This window comes from Homo sapiens, chromosome 1 (assembly GCF_000001405.40).
Source record: "Homo sapiens chromosome 1, GRCh38.p14 Primary Assembly".
Classification (NCBI taxonomy): domain Eukaryota; kingdom Metazoa; phylum Chordata; class Mammalia; order Primates; family Hominidae; genus Homo; species Homo sapiens.
Window position 1 is genome coordinate 154,085,249 of NC_000001.11, and position 16,013 is coordinate 154,101,261.

A 16,013-nucleotide genomic window follows, 5' to 3' on the forward strand; every position below is an offset into this window, starting at 1 on the left:
CTGAGGCGGGAGAATGGTGTGAACTCAGGAGGCAGAGCTTGCAGTGAGCCGAGATCGTACCACTGCACTCCAGCCTCAGCGACAGAGCAAGACTCCATCTCAAAAAAAATAAATAAATAAAATAAAATAAAGAAAAAATTCCAATTATGATAGCATCAAAAAAGCAAAATATTTAGGAATAAATCTAATGAGTGTAAAACTTGTATACTCTAAACAGGAAACATTGTTGAAAGAAATTAAAGATACCAATAAACAGAAAGACATCCATGTTCATAAATCAAAAGGCAATATTATCAAAATGGCAATACTCCTCAAACTGATCTACAGATTCAATGCAATCCCTATCAAAATCTCTGCTGGCTTTGACAAGCTGACCCTAAAAATTTATGTGGAAATGCAAGGGACCCAGAATAGCCAAAATAATATTGAAAAAGAACAAAGTTGCAAAATTCATACTTCCCAACCTCAAAACTTACTACAAAACTACAGTGATCAAGACAGTGTGGTACTGACATAAAGATGTATAGATTAATAGATTTTAGAGTCCAAAAATAAACTCTCATGTTTATGGTTAACAGATTTGCAACAAGAGTGCCAAGACAACTCAAGGTATAAGAAATAATCTTTTAAACAAATGGTGCTGTGTCAAGTGGATACCAACATGTAAAAAAAATGAAGTGAGGCTGGGCACAGTGGCTCATGCCTGTAATCCCAGCACTTTGGGAGGCCAAGGCGGGCAGATCATTTGAGATCAGGAGTTTGAGACCAGCCTGGCCAATATGGTGAAACCCTGTCTCTACTAAAAATACAAAAATTAGCCAGGCATGGTGGCGGGCACCTGTAATTCCAGCTACTGGGGAGGCTGAGGCATGAGAATAACTTGAACCCAGGAGGCAGAGATTGCAGTGAGCCAAGATCACACCACTGCACTCCAGCCTGGGCAATAGAGTGAGACTCAGTCTCAAAAAAAAAAAAGAAAGAAAGAAAAGAAAAGAAAAAAACAAAACAAAACCAAAACACAATAATGAAGTTAGATCCCTACCTCACACCATAAAAATGAACTCAAAGTGGATCAGAGAGCTAAATGTAAGAGTTAAAACTATAAAACTCATAGAATAAATCAAAGGCATAAATCTTCATGCCCTTGGATTAGGCAATGATTTCTTAGATTAGATATGACACCAAAAGTACAAACAACAACCATAGTAACAAAATTGATAAATTGGGATTCATCAAAGTTAAAAACTTTTGTGCTTCAAAAGATGTCATTAGAAAAGTGAGGCCAAGCATGGTGGCTTATGCCTGTAATCCCAGCACTTTGGGAGGCCAAGGCCGGAGTATCATTCGAGGCCAGGAGTTTGAGACCAGCCTGGGCAATATAGTGAGACCTCATCTCTACAGAAAAAAAAAAAAATTAGCTGGGTATGGTGGCATGTGACTGTAGTCCCAGCCACTTAGGAGGCTGAGGTGAGAGGATAGTTAGCTTGAGCCCAGGAGTTGGAGGTTACAGTGACCTATGATCATGTCACTGCACTGCAGCTTGAGTGAAAAGTGAGACCCTGTGTCTTAAAAAAAAAAAAGTAAAAGATAACCCATGTGATGAGAGAACATTTTTGCAAATCATATATCTGAAAAGAGACTTGTATGTAGACTATATGAAATGAAGAACTCTTGCAACTCAATAAAAAGACATATAGTTCAATTAAAAATTGGCAAAGGATCTGAATATACATTTGTCAAAAGAAGATATACAAATGGCCAGTAAGCACATAAAAAGATACACAACATAGGCCAGGCACAGTGGCTCACGCCTGTAATCCCAGCACTTTGGGAGGCCGAGGCGGGTGGATCAGCTGAGGTCAGGAGTTTGAGACCAGCCTGGCCAACATGGTGAAACCCCGTTTCTACTAAAAGCACAAAAATTAGCTGGGCATGGTGGTGCATACCTATAATCCTAGCTACTCAGGAGGATGAGGCAAGAGAATCATTTGAACCCGGGGGCTGGAGGTTGCAGTGAGCTGAGATTGCACCACTTCACTCCAGCCTGGGCGAAAAGAATGAAGCTCCATCTCAAAAAAAAAAAAAAAAAAAGGGGCAACATAATTAGACAGTGGAAAATACAAATCAAAACCACAATGAGATACCACTTTATACCCACTAGGAAGGCTATAATCAAAATGACAAATAATAGTAATTGTTGGCAAGGATATGGAGAACCTGGAAGCCTCACACACTGCTAGTGGAAATGTAAAATGGTGCAGCCACTTTGGAAACAGCTGGAAGTTCTTCAAAAGGCTAAGCATGGAATTAACATACAAACCACCAATTCCACTCTTAGCTATATACTCAAGAGAAATGAAGACATATACTCACAAAAAAACTTGTACATGAATGTTCATGGCAGCATTATTCATAATAGCCAAAGGTGGAAACAACACATATATCCATCAACTGATGGCTGGATAAACAAAATGTAGTATATCTACACAATGGAATATTACTTAGCCATAAAAAATGCACTACTGATACAGGCTACCATATCAATGAAACTTGAAAACATGCTAAATGAAAGAAGCTAGGCACAAAGGACACATAATTGTATTATTCCATTCATATGAAACGTCAGAATAGGCAAATCCATAGAGACAGAAAGTCTATCAGTGGGGTTGCCGGGGCTAGGAAATGGAGGAAATAAGGAATGACTGCTAATGGGTATGGAGTTTCTTCCGGAGAAAATGAAAATGACCTGAAGTTAGATAGCACCGATGGTTGCACAACTTTGATTTGAACACTTTAAAAGGGTGATCTGCTGGACGCGGTAGCTCACGCCTCTAATCCCAGCACTTTGTGAGACTGAGGTGGGTGGATCCCTTGAGCCCAGGAGTTCGAGACCAGCCTGGGCAACATGGCAAAACCCCATCTCTACTAAAAATACAAAAAATTAGCCAGCATGGTGGCACACACCTATAATCCCAGCTAACTGGGGGGTTGAGTTGGGAAAATCAACTGACTGGGGAAAGTTGAGGTGGCAGATGGTGCCATGTGCTCCAGCCTGGATGACTGCAGTGAGACCCTGTCTCAAAAAAAAAAAAAGGGTGAATATATGCTAGTGTATGTCAATAGGGTGATGGAGAATCATGTCTGTAACTCACTCTCAAATAGTTCAGGGAAAAAAGTTCTTTTCTTGCAACTTGCCTGTAAATTTGAATTATTTCAAATGAAAAGAAAAATGCCATTGAATGACAATGATGTTATAGGGATAACTTTTATTCTACTCCACTCAGAGTGCTCTAAAAAAATAGTAACTCCTTCATAAACTTCAAATAATATTTGATGTGAAGTCTGACTCAAAAAAATGGGTTCACAACCTGTAACATCCCATACTGTTGTTCTTCATAATAAAAGGCAGTATGGCATAAATAACATGTACTTTGGAGTCAGACAGAATGTGTTCCTTTCTAGCTTTATGACTGGGAAAATTAATCGACTTTTAGGAGGCTCGGTTTTCTCATCCAGAAAATGGGAATAACTAATTGTTCTGTATAGGTTAAGTAATGACTTCTATGCTCCCAAGCTTGGACCTGTACTCAACATTGTTTATTATATAATATGATGTTCTACTTTCTAGGATAGATAACTCATTTATTTTTCATACCCTGTTGCCTACTTAGTAGCTACATTATTGTTTATCACTATTCTTCATGATTGGTTTGGAGAAGAGGTAAATTTTATTATTTATTAATATTGTTAATAAAAGATTTGGTAGCGAAGGATATCAGCAAAATTTGGAAGTTATGTAGTCAGATCTCAAGTGTCTATTGCCATTATCACAAGCTGATTATGTACTTAAGTATAGTAAACAAGTGTAGCCAATTCTAATCAGTTTAATCACCTCTCCTCAGACACTATCAGAAAATGAGTAATGAGTAAAATAGTTCATTCAATGTTGATAAGTGGAGAAATGGGAACCCTTGTGCACTGTTGGTAAGAATGTAAAATGGTACAGCTGCTGTGGAAAACTGTATGGCAGTTCCTCAAAAAATTAAAAATAGAATTACCATATGATCTGGCAATTCTACTTCTGGATATATACCCCAAAGAATTCCAGACTCTATCTCTAAAGCACGGAATATAAAAGTGCCAACTTAGTTGGAAACATACTCTGTACTTACCAGCCATTTGTTGTGCTGTGGCAGAGGACATGGCTGGGCACCAGCTGGCACCTTGTATACTGGAGTTACTGACATACTGGCAGGGTGGGCACAAATGAAGCGAACCTGCAAAACCTCTACAGCTGGACTAGGGTTCAGGACACCTGGATGATTTCCAATTCGGAATGTGAGAACCTTTAAGGAAGTCACAGAGCAAGAGATAATTGTGGGTAGATACTTGATGTCAGTCATGCCAATATAAATGTGTTAGAATTATTCAAATTCCAGTATAGAGAGTCCCTTTCACATTATAATCCGGCAAATCCCTTAAAGACATTATAGTTCTTAATTATCTATGCTAAAGGGCATTAATAATATCATGAAAATTTGAAAACAACTGGAACATTAAAAAAATCTAGGTCAGGCACAGTGGCTCATGCCTATAATCCCAGCACTTTGGGAGGATCACTTGAGCCTAGTTCAAGACCATCACATAGTAAGACCCCATCTCTACAAAAAATCTAAAAATTAGCCAGGCATGGTGGTGCACACCTGTAGTCTCAGTTACTTGGGAGACTGAAGCAGGAGGATCGCTTGAACCCAGGAGGTCAAGGCTACAGTGAGCCATGTTCATGCCATTGCACTTCAGCCTGGGCAACAGAATGAGACCCTGTCTAAAAAAAAAAAATCTAACTTTGACTGGGTGTGGTGATGTGTACCTGTAATCTCAGCTGCTTGGAAGTCTGAGGCAGGAGGATTGCTTGCGCCAAGGAGTTCAAGACCAGCTTGAGCAACATAGTGAGACCCTGTCTCAGGAAAAAAAAAAAAAATCTAACTTTGACCAATTATTTCAGTCTTTTCCTCCGCCAAATATTTTGTTACAAGTTGATAAAAAGTGAAAAAACTAATTTGTGTTTCCACTCATCTCTAGTAGAAGTAGTAATGAATAACGGAATGTGGAAACAAAAAGAAATTAGGAAACTTCAAATGAGGGTTAATCAGACCTGAAATTACTAAATAGCTCACTCAACAAACTAGGAAATGAAGGAAACTATCTCAACATGATAAAAGCCTTACCACAGTTAACATCATACTCAATAGTAAAAGACTGATTCAAAAAATGGGCAAAGGCCCAGTGCGGTGGCTCACACCTGTAATCCCAGCACTTTGGGAGGCTGAGGTGGGCAGATCACCTGAGGTCAGGAGTTCAACACCAGCCTGGCCGATATGGTGAAACCCCGTCTCTACTAAAAACACAAAAATTAGCCAGGCATATTGCCACACGCCTGTAGTCCCAGCTACTTGGGAGACTGAGGCAAGAGAATCACTTGAACCCGGGAGGCGGAGGTTGCAGTGAGCCAAGATCATACCATTGCACTCCAGCCTGGGTGACAAGAGTCAAACTACATCTAAAAAAAAAAAAAGAAAGAAACTGAAAATAACAAGTGTTGGTGAGGTTCTGGAGAAATGGGAACCCTTGTGCACTGTTGGTAGGAAAGTAAAATGGTACAGCTGCTGTGGAAAATAGTATGGTGGTTCCTCAAGAAATTAAAAATAGAATTACCATATGATCAAGCAATTCCACTTCTGGGTATATATACCCAAAACAATTAAAAAGCAGGATCTTGACAGATAGCTGTATTTGTTGACAGCATTATTATTATTATTGCTGTTATTATTATTATTATTATTATTATTATTATTATTATTATTTGAGAAAAAGTCTCACTCTGTTGCCCAGGCTGGAGTGCAGTGGCATGATCTTGGCTCACTGTAACCTCCGCCTCATGGGTTCCAGAGATTCTTGTGACTCATCCTCCTGAGTAGCTAAGACTACAGGCACGTGCAACCACACCCGGCTAATTTTTGTATTTTCAGTAGAGACAGGGCTTTGCCATGTTGGCCAGGCTGATCTCGAATTCCTGGCCTCAACTGATCCACCTGCCTCAACCTCCCAAGATGCTGGGATTACAAGTGTGAGCCACTGTGCCTGCTCAACAGCAGCATTATTCATGATCACTAAAACCTTACTCTAAGCAACCCAAGTGTCCATCAATGGATGAGTGGATAAGCAACATGTCTTTTTCTTTTCTTTTCTTTTCTTTTTTTTTTTTTTTTTGAGAGTGACTTTTGCTCTATTGTCCAGGCTGGAGTGCAATGGCATGATCTCGGCTCACTGCAATCTCCACCTCCCAGGTTCAAGCGATTCTCCTGTCTCAGCCTCCCAAGTAGCTGAGATTACAGGTGCCCACCACCACGTCCGGCTAATTTTTGTATTTTTAGTAGAGATGGGGTTTCACCATATTGGCCAGGCTGGTCTCGAACTCCTGAACTCAAATGATCTGCCCGCTTCGGTCTCCCAAAGTGCTGGAATTATAGGCGTGAGCCACTGCGCCCGGCCACAAAATTTCATATATACATATATATGTATATAATCTTATATGTACATATTTTATATATACATATGCAGCTTTAAAAGGAAGGAAATTCTGACATATACTACAGTGTGAATAAACCTTGAGAACATTATGTTAAGTGAAATAGGCCAGTCATAAAAAGAAAAATACTACATGATTCCATTTATGTGATGTACTTAGAGTTGCCAAAATTACAGAGACAGAAAGTAGATTGGTGGTTGCCAGGGACTGGGGTGAAGCAGAAATGGGGAGCCATTTTTTTTTTTTTTTTTTTTTTGAGACGGAGTCTCGCTCTGTCGCCCAGGCTGGAGTGCAGTGGCATGATCTCGGCTCATTGTAAGCTCCGCCTTCCGGATTCACGCCATTCTCCTGCCTCAGCCTCCTGAGTAGCTGGGACTACAGGCACGCGCCACCACGCCTGGCTAATTTTTTTTTTTTATTTTTAGTAGAGATGGGGTTTCACCGTGTTACCCAGGATGGTCTCGATCTCCTGACCTGGTGATCCGCCCGCCTCGTCCTCCCAAAGAGCTAGGATTACAGGCGTTAGCCACCGCGCCCGGCCTTTTTTTTTTTTACGCAGTCTCACTCTGTCGCCCAGGCTGGAGTGCAGTGGCGCGATCTCAGCTCACCTCAACCTCTGCCTCCCGGGTTCAAGCAGTTCTTCTGCCTGAGCCTCCTGAGTAGCTGAGATCACAGGCACATGCCACCATACCTGGCTAGTTTTTTGTTTTTTGTTTTTTTTTTTTTTTTAGCAGAGATGGGGTTTCATCATGTTGGCTAGGCTGGTCTCATACTCCTGACCTCAAATGATCCACCTGCCTCAGCCTCCCAAAGTGCTAGAATTACAGGCATAAGCCACCACACCCAGCCAAGAGTTATTCTTTAATGGGTATAGAGTTTCTATATGTTTTGTTTGTTTGTTTTTTGAGACGGGATCTTGCACTGTCACCCAGGCTGGAGTGCAGTGACTAGATCATAGCCCACTGTAACCTCAAACTACTGGGCTCAAGTGATCCTCCTGCCTCAGCCTCCCAAGTAGCTAGGACTACAGGTGTCTGCCATGACACCCAGCTAATTTTTTCTTTTTTAGTAGGGACAGGGTCTCACTATGTTGTCCAGGCTGGCCTTGAATTCCTGGCCTCAAGTGATCCTCCTGCCTTGATTCCCCAAAGTGCTGGGATTACAGGCGTGAGCCACTGTGCCCAGCCTTAGAGTTTCAGTTGTATAAGATGAAAAGAGATGGATGGTAGTGATGCCTGCACAAGATTATGAATGTACATAATACTATTGAACTGTACATTTTAAAAAAATGATTAAGATGGTAATTTTAGGCCGGGTGCGGTGCCTCATGCCTGTAATCCCAGCACTTTGGGAGGCCGAGGTGGGCAGATCACCTGAGGTCAGGAGTTTGAGATCAGCCTGACCAACATGAAGAAACCCCATCTCTACTAAAAATACAAAATTAGCCGGGTGTGGTGGTGCATGCCTGTAATCCCAGTTACTCAGGAGGCTGAGGCAGTAGAATCACTTGAACCCAGGAGGTGGAGGTTATGGTGAGCCAAGATTGTGCCATTGCACTCCCACCTGGGCAACAAGAGCGAAACTCCATCTCAAAAAAAAAAGATGGTAATTTTACCACAATAAAAGATTGAGGACCAAAATAAGTAATTAGCCCTGAAATTACTGATAGCTAGTTATATATACAGTAAAGTTCACTACAAATATTAGAAAGAAACCTATGTAGTGAGCTACGATCGTTCCACTACACTCTAGCCTGGGCAGCAGTGTGAGAACCTGTCTCTAAAATATAAAAATAAATAAATAAAATAAAATAGAATGAAGTTCAATGGATTACAGCACAGTTCTTATCAAGTTAAAATCTTACATTGATTCCCTTATGTGCTGGTTAGCTGTGCTGTTTCACAGTCATACCTTGAATTCTCAAGCCCAGTAAAACTGCAAATCTTTGTTACTGATTTTGATAGAAGTACAGCACAGCTGTGAATGAAAACTATGCAAATCCATCAGTACCTCTAAAAATAATTAAAACTCAGCTGGGTGTAGTGCGTCATGCCTATAATCCCAGCACTTTGGGAGGCCAAGGTGGGTGGATCACTTGATTCCAGCAACTTGAGACCAGTCTGGCCAACACAGTGAAACCCTGTCTATAGAAAAAAACAAAAATGGCTGGGCATGGTTGCTCACGCCTGTAATCCTAGCACTTTGGGAGGCCGAGTTGGGCAGATCACAAGGTCAGGAGTTTGAGACCAGCCTGACCAACATGGTAAAACCCCGTCTCTACTAAAAATACAAAAAATTAGCCAGGCGTGGTGGCGTGCACCTGTCATCCCAGCTACTCAGGAGGCCGAAACAGGAGAATCTCTTGAACCCGGAAGGCAGAGGTTGCAGTGAGCTGAGATTGCACCACTGCACTCTAGCCTGGGCAACAGAGCAAGACTCCATCTCAAAAACAACAACAACAACAACAAAAATTAGCTGGGCATGGTGGTGTGTGCCTGTAATCCCAGCTACTCAGGAGGCTGAGGCATAAGAATTGCTTGAACCCAGGAGGCAGAGGGTGCAGTGAGCCGAGATCGTGCCACTGCGCTCCAGCTTGGGCAACAGAGTGAGACCCTGTCTCTAAATAAATAAATAAAAATAATTAAAAATAATTCAACTGATAGAGATAAAATATATTTATTATTCGTATCAGTGTAGCTCTAATTAGTTCCTCAAAATTGCTAACCATAGATGATACTTCAAAGTTTCCCTTCCTTGAATTCTTAAAGTTGGGAAACCAAATATCCTAAAGTCTACAAAACAAGGAAGTGAATTATAATGATAATGTGATTGCAAATAATGTGAAATAAGCTCATTACTACAAAAAGATCTTGTTTAGTTCGTGAACTGCTGGAATTCTTGGATGAGCAAATTGAAACCTCTGGGTATATTTTAAGGATAATAAGGTTTTAGAAAAAACAATCATTTGATCAATAATTAGAATTTTCCTATTTAGTCCATAAACTAAATTCAGCAGAATCTGAAAAGGAATGGCTGGAAGTACAAAGGATTTGGAGTATTACACTAAAGAAAATGTTATAAAAAACTGTTTTCCTACTTGTTCCCCTAAATCCAGGCATTGGATCCGGTAGATGTACTGGTTCTGTTTTCTCTTAGATGGCAGCCACACTTGTGCTATTCCAATCTTCTCTGTCTTCTCCGCATTCAATTCCAAAAAAAATCGGGAGGGCTCCAAGATCCATGGACGAGGACCCCCTTCAAATACCATTTCCTTCACAGACTGCCATGTCACCAATGCCACTTCCACAGGATTTAAAGCCTGATGATATTTAAAGAAATTAATTCCTGATAGGTTAGGGAATTCAATAATTTTCTAAAGTGAAACACTAGTTATCTGAATATGCTGCAAATGACGTTAAACTTAATTCCCAAATTAAGAGATATGTATGCCATGCCTCTCACTTGGAATGCTTCTCAACCTAACTTGGATCCTACCTATCATTTGAACCTAACTATTATGTTACTTTATCCATTAATTTGTGTCCAGTCATTCTAGACCACACCACTTCTGCATCCTCTAAGCTCTTACAGTATTTATCTGTACCATTCATTTGTACCCTGTTCATTTCCTAATGTTATTATATGTGTGTCAAATGCTATGTATAAATCTAATAATTTTTGTTGTTTTCTCTACTTATATAAACTCCTTAAGAGGAGTCAGTATCTTATACCTAATTTGTTTTAGTATTTCTCTTCTTCACTGGGATTTAGTACAATGTTGTGTGCAGAAAAGGTATTGTATAAATAACTGCATAAGCATTTTTTTCAGGCTAAAGAGTGAAAGATAAGATGCATAAGCATTTTAAACTGATATTTTACTAACGTATCAAAGAACTTCTGCCCTAAAAATATAAAAATAATACATCTATACACTTCACCATATTTCTCCAAGAACTTTATAAGCTAAGAAGTAGACAAGATAGGTATTACTCAATTCAGTATAGAGAAGTTGTATCCCATTCACAGATGAGGAAACTGGCATTAGGGGAATGAAGTATTCTCAAAGTGTAGGTTATTTTTGTATGGCACACAATGTCCACAACAGTGACTAATTTTTTTTTATTTTACTTTAAGTTCTGGGATACATGTGCAGAATGTGCAGGTTTGTTACCTAGGTATACATGCGCCATGGTGGTTTGCTGCACCCATCAACCCATCATGTACGTTAGGTATTTCTCCTAATGCTATCCATTCCCGAGGCCCCACCCCTTTACAGGCCACAGTGTGTGATGTTCCCCTCCCTGTGTCCATGTGTTCTCATTGTTCAACTCCCACTACAGTGACTAAGTTTTAAAACGAAGTAGAGAGTTGAAGCAATTATTCTAAAAACGTAAGCAAACTATGCTTTCTTTTCAGAACTGTTCAGTCATATTTATTATTGAGTACTATTAAAACTGAAAATTTCTATCCCTGATGGTAGTATTCTCTTAAATAATGTATATATAATTCAATAAATATTCACTTATGAGGATACAGTAATAGAAATCCAAATAAAGTCTTGTCTCACAGGGGAGCTCACAATCTGGGAGAGACAGACTTAGAGTAGGTAAAGAATATAATAAGTGTTACAAAAAGACATGTGGCCAGGTGCGGTAGCTCATGCCTGTAATCCCAGCACTTTGGGAGGCTGAGGTGGGTGGATCACTTAAGGTCAGGAGTTTGAGACCAGCCTGGCCAACATGGTGAAATCCCATCTCTACTAAAAATACAAAATTAGCTGAGCATGGTGGTGCACGCCTGTAATCCCAGCTACTTGGGAGGCTGAGGCAGGAGAATCAGTTGGAGGCAGAGGTTGCAGTGAACCAAGATTGTGCCATTGCACTCCAGCCTGGGCAACAAGATCAAAACTTGGTCTCAGGAAAAAAAAAAAAGACATGTTACACAGTGCCATACAAGTTTTTGGCCAGGTGTGGTGGCTCATGCCTGTAATGCAAGCACTTTGGGAGGCCAAGGCAGGCGGATCCCTTGAGCCCAGGAATTTGAGACCAGCCTGGCCATCATGGCAAAACCCCATATCTACTAAAAATACAAAAATTAGCTGGGCATCATGGTGTGCACCTGTAATCCCACCCACTTGGGAGGCTGAGGCACAAGAATCGCTTGAACCTAGGGGGTGGAGGTTGCCGAGATTGCACCACTGCATTCCAGCTGGGCCAACAGAGTGAGACTCTGTCTCAAAAAAAAAAATTTTTTTTGACAGAAGAAATGAATGGAAAAAATAAACACAGAGGTCTCATAGATGGCCTTTCTGAAAAAGCAAAACAAATGATTCCTTTTTCTTAGATGTATAGTCAAAAACTAACCAGATGAACCGAATTGAGCTGATAATATAAAAGGACAAATTGAGAACTGTACCATGTACTGAAACATAGTAATGATAACAAGGGTAGAACACACATATTTTTAAACAATTTGTTTTTCATCAGGCAAGGGGAAAGATACGTGACTAACATACTAGGTAGAAAAAGAAAATCATCATCACTTCCTTTCCTTTAAGGACGACTTTCATTCAGGGGAGATCTGATTTGTGGACATTCAATATATATAAAATAAGCCTAAGGACAATGATAAAAGTAAGAAAAAACCTAATGGAACTTTACAATGAGCCACAGCCAAGCACTTGCATTTAATTAGGCAAGAAGGAGGATTCACCCACCCAGGGAACTAGTGAAATATACTTGAACCATATATTTAATATATATGCTACACAATGTACAATGAGGCCAACTTAAAATGCAAATTTGAATGAATAATTTATCTTTTTTCTTTTACCTTACTTTACTTCTTTCATTAGTGTTAACATTTTTCCCTGTGGGTGCTCCTTATTCCAAGAGGCATTGAGTCAGGATTTGTCAGTATCTATCAGCAAGAACTTGTAGATACCAATTTTAGCTACTGCTGGAATCAAATAGGATGTAGAAACCATGCCAGTCTCTATCTACTTTTATTTTGAACTGTTGCAGGATACTTAGGGTGTTGCTTTTCTGGCTGGAAACCTCTGTGGCTGGTGGCACCTTTGCCCAAGTTTTGTTTGGGCCCACTGGGCTCATTCCATCCACTCGGCCTGGCAGGCTGTGCTTGGCTCATGCTACCAGCCTGGATCTCACACCTGCCAAGGGTGAGCCAGGCATGGAGTGGCAACAGGTGTGTGAGTGAGGAAGCATGGGGTCCAGCCACTGCAGTCAGGCACACCAGTTGCTGCAGTGGGACAGGCAGCTCCAGGTGCCAGCATGGGCACTGGCTCTCTGCAAGCCTGTGGCTAGATCAGGTGCACTGCAAGCAGCTTCCACGCTGCCACTGGGGAACACAGTGGTGCCTGGAAGCTTAGAGACTCCAGGAACCACAGGGCCCCAAAGTGGGAGTCACAGCCCTGGCTTGGGGAGCTCCCAGGTCTCGGCTCCCTGAAGAGTCACAGTTCTCTCCTTCTCTTCACCCACAACGTGGTGAGCAAGGGGTATGTTTCAGCCCTGTTTGTGTTATAGCTCTTTCAGCCCTGCCATTGGGAAGGTCCCAAGTTCTTGTCCTGCATCCAGGAAGAATAAGATATGCAGAACAAGTGGAGGGTGAGCAAGGTGAAGAAGAGCTTTATTGAGTAACAGAATAGCTCAGAGGAGGCCCTGGAGTGGGTAGTACCTCTCTGCTGCTGGTCATCCCAGTGTCTGCAGCTCTCAGCAGAGAGGAGGCCCTGGAGTTGGTAGCTCCTCTCTGCAGCTGGTTGCCCAATGTCTTCTGCCCAGCTCCGGCTGAGCCTGGAGCTTTTATGGGCATCAGAGGGGAGGAAGTCCACACTGATTGGTCCATGGGCAGCCATGGGTGGGTCTGGAAAAGGCATCACAAGTTCCCACTCTGGTCTGCGGGACTGGCAGCCTGGACCCCAGGCTTCAGGCCCTACCTGGCCTGAAGGTAGGGCCTCACCAGATACTGCACCTTCTGCCCAGGAACTTGTCTGCCTCCTGCCGCTGTTCATGGCACCGAGGCTGTAGGTGCCAAGGGGCACCTGCGGGCCAGTGCCGAGCTGCCCTCAGCTCCTCTTTGGCTTCCCTCCTATGCTTGTTGGTGCCCAAAGTCTGGAGGGGGCCAAGGCAGCAGGGGCCTGGCATGTTAAAATTGCCCCAAGCGTGTGCTCATCTGGCCAGATTGTGACAGCGCCCAGGATTGGCCCAACTTTGTTCTGAGATTGGAGTTGGTGCTGACAGCAGGAAGAAGCCAGGCAGCGGGAGTGTGCAGAAGGGGCCTTCCTGGGTTCCCAAGAGTACAAGGATGCCTGGGTCCACAGCTGCCATTTGAGTAGCTGCAGTTGCATGGCAAGGGGGTAGTGGGGCTGGGGCAGGGGTGCATCTCCTGCCTGCTCGGTGGAGCAGGAGGCCTGGGTCCGCAGTCATGACTTGGGCAGCCAAAGCTGCACCCAGGGAGCTCCCGCCCCACCAGCTCAGAAGGAGTGGGGCTCCTGGGGCTCCCACTTGGCGTCGGTTCCAAACGGCTCCACGGAGTGTGCAGCCCCAGCTGCATCTCCCTGCTGCAGCTGGCGTGATGGCAGCAGCTGCTCCAGACAGGCTGCCACTGCCATCAGAACCACTTATCATACTGTCTCCATTATAATGAACCAGTCCTTAGGGCTCAATATAATGGCTTCTGTGCTTAAAATCCATAAGTATATAGGGTAAAAGATGATTGACTTCCTTCCATAGGACAGAAATTATCTTTCAGGGTTCTTCAAAAGAGAGTACACTAATATACTAACTTCGGTATTTACAGAGATATATGCACATGTAAAAATTCAGATAGCACCTGAAGATTAGTGTACTTTATGAACTTTTCTGTACATATTTTATACCTCAGTAAAAAAGAAGAAAGGAGAATATCTAAAACTTTCTGATACAACTTAAAGATATTCCTGTGACAGAAGCATGAGGGAGTAAACTCCCTGGAGACTTAGGTTTGAGGAGAGAGCTGTAGATCTAAAAACAAAAAAGTGGCAAGTAAAGAGAACATAAATGTCATTGATCCTTAGTGGGGACCACAGATAGCTAGTAAGCCCATAAGCAGACATAGTTAAGTCCATTAAAAGAAATGCCAGTTCCTTACCATGAAATATCTTACCTTTAGGGGTTCATAAGCAGCAAATGTAGCACTGCTCTCCAAGTACTTGTCACATTCATTCACACTTACTGTTACCAGAGTATGGCCAAGAGATTTAGCTGCGATATGTGTACTGGAACAATGCATTGGTCCAGGTCTTTGAATACCTGTGAATCAAAAACCATGATTTTGGCAGGGCGTGGTGGCTCAGGCTTGTAATCCCAGCACTTTGGGAGGCCAAGGCAGGAAGATTGCTTGAGCTCCGAAGTTTAAGACCCGCCTGAAAAACATGGTGAAACCCCGTGTCTACAAAATATTTAAAAAATTAGCCAGGCATGGTGGCGTGCACCTGTAGTCCCAGTTACTCAGGAGGCTAAGGAAGGAGGATCACTTGAGCCCAGGAGGTCAAGGCTGCAGTGAGTCATGATTGCACCACTACACCCCAGCCTGGGCAAGAGTAAGACCTTACCTAAAAAAAAAAAAAAACCCAAAACAAATATGATTTCAGTGGGGTAACAAGCAGTTAGTTTTTGGCTTTGTTTTTTTTTTTTTTTTTTTTGAGATGGAGTCTCGCTCTTGTTGCCCAGGCTGGAGTGCAATGGTGCAATCTTGGCTCACTGCAACCTCAGCCTCCTGGTTTCAAGCGATTCTCCTGCCTCAGCCTCCTGAGTAACTGGGATTACAGGCACCTGCCACCATGTCTGGCTAATTTTTTATATTTTTAGTAGAGACAGGGTTTCACTGTATTGGCCACGCTGGTCTCGAACTCCTGACCCTGTGATCCACCCACCTAAGCCTCCCAAAATGCTGGGATTACAAGCATGAGCCACCGCACCCAGCCACAAGCAGTTAGTTTTAAAGGAGATTAAGCTATGAAAATATAAGAATTTTAATATATTAAAAATACCATCTTGGGCCAGGCACAGTGGCTCATGCCTATAATCCCAACACTTTGGAAGGCCGAGGCGGGTGGATCACCTGAGCTCGGGAGTTCGAGACCAGCCTGACCAACATGGAGAAATCCCGTCTCTACTAAAAATTCAAAATTAGCCAGGTGTGGCGGTGCATACCTGTAATCCCAGCTACTCAGGAGGCTGAGGCAGGAGAATCGCTTGAACCCAGAAGGCAGAGGTTGCCGTGAGCCGAGATTGCGCCATTGCACTCCAGCCTGAGCAACAAGAGTGAAACTCTGTCTCAAAAAAAAAAAAAAAAAAAAATTTGGCTGGGGGCGGTGGCTCATGCCTGTAATCCCAGCACTTTGGGAGGCTAAAGCAGGTGGATCACC

The 16,013-nt window shown here is 42.4% G+C and overlaps 1 protein-coding gene across 8 annotated transcripts in view, besides 2 other annotated features; it reads right to left on the reverse strand.

Annotated features, from left to right (window-relative positions):
- Nucleotides 1-16,013, reverse strand: part of NUP210L (nucleoporin 210 like) — a 162,427-nt gene that overhangs the window by 92,559 nt on the left and 53,855 nt on the right. For all 8 annotated transcript variants that reach the window (XM_011510122.2, XM_011510123.2, NM_001159484.1 and 5 more), the window contains 3 exons: nucleotides 14,750-14,895; nucleotides 9,687-9,908; nucleotides 4,173-4,346 (listed from right to left, as the gene is read on the reverse strand). In XM_011510122.2, coding sequence (XP_011508424.1) covers nucleotides 4,173-4,346; nucleotides 9,687-9,908; nucleotides 14,750-14,895 — 542 coding nt within the window. The remainder of the gene's footprint in view (nucleotides 1-4,172; nucleotides 4,347-9,686; nucleotides 9,909-14,749; nucleotides 14,896-16,013) is intronic.
- Nucleotides 12,338-12,838: an enhancer, noted in NCBI's record as "H3K4me1 hESC enhancer chr1:154070062-154070562 (GRCh37/hg19 assembly coordinates)". NCBI's record gives its function as "activates a minimal SCP1, AML or CMV promoter by ChIP-STARR-seq in primed H9 embryonic stem cells {active_cell/tissue: H9 hESC(primed)}" and the evidence as "EXISTENCE:reporter gene assay evidence [ECO:0000049][PMID:30033119]".
- Nucleotides 12,839-13,339: an enhancer, noted in NCBI's record as "H3K4me1 hESC enhancer chr1:154070563-154071063 (GRCh37/hg19 assembly coordinates)". NCBI's record gives its function as "activates a minimal SCP1, AML or CMV promoter by ChIP-STARR-seq in primed H9 embryonic stem cells {active_cell/tissue: H9 hESC(primed)}" and the evidence as "EXISTENCE:reporter gene assay evidence [ECO:0000049][PMID:30033119]".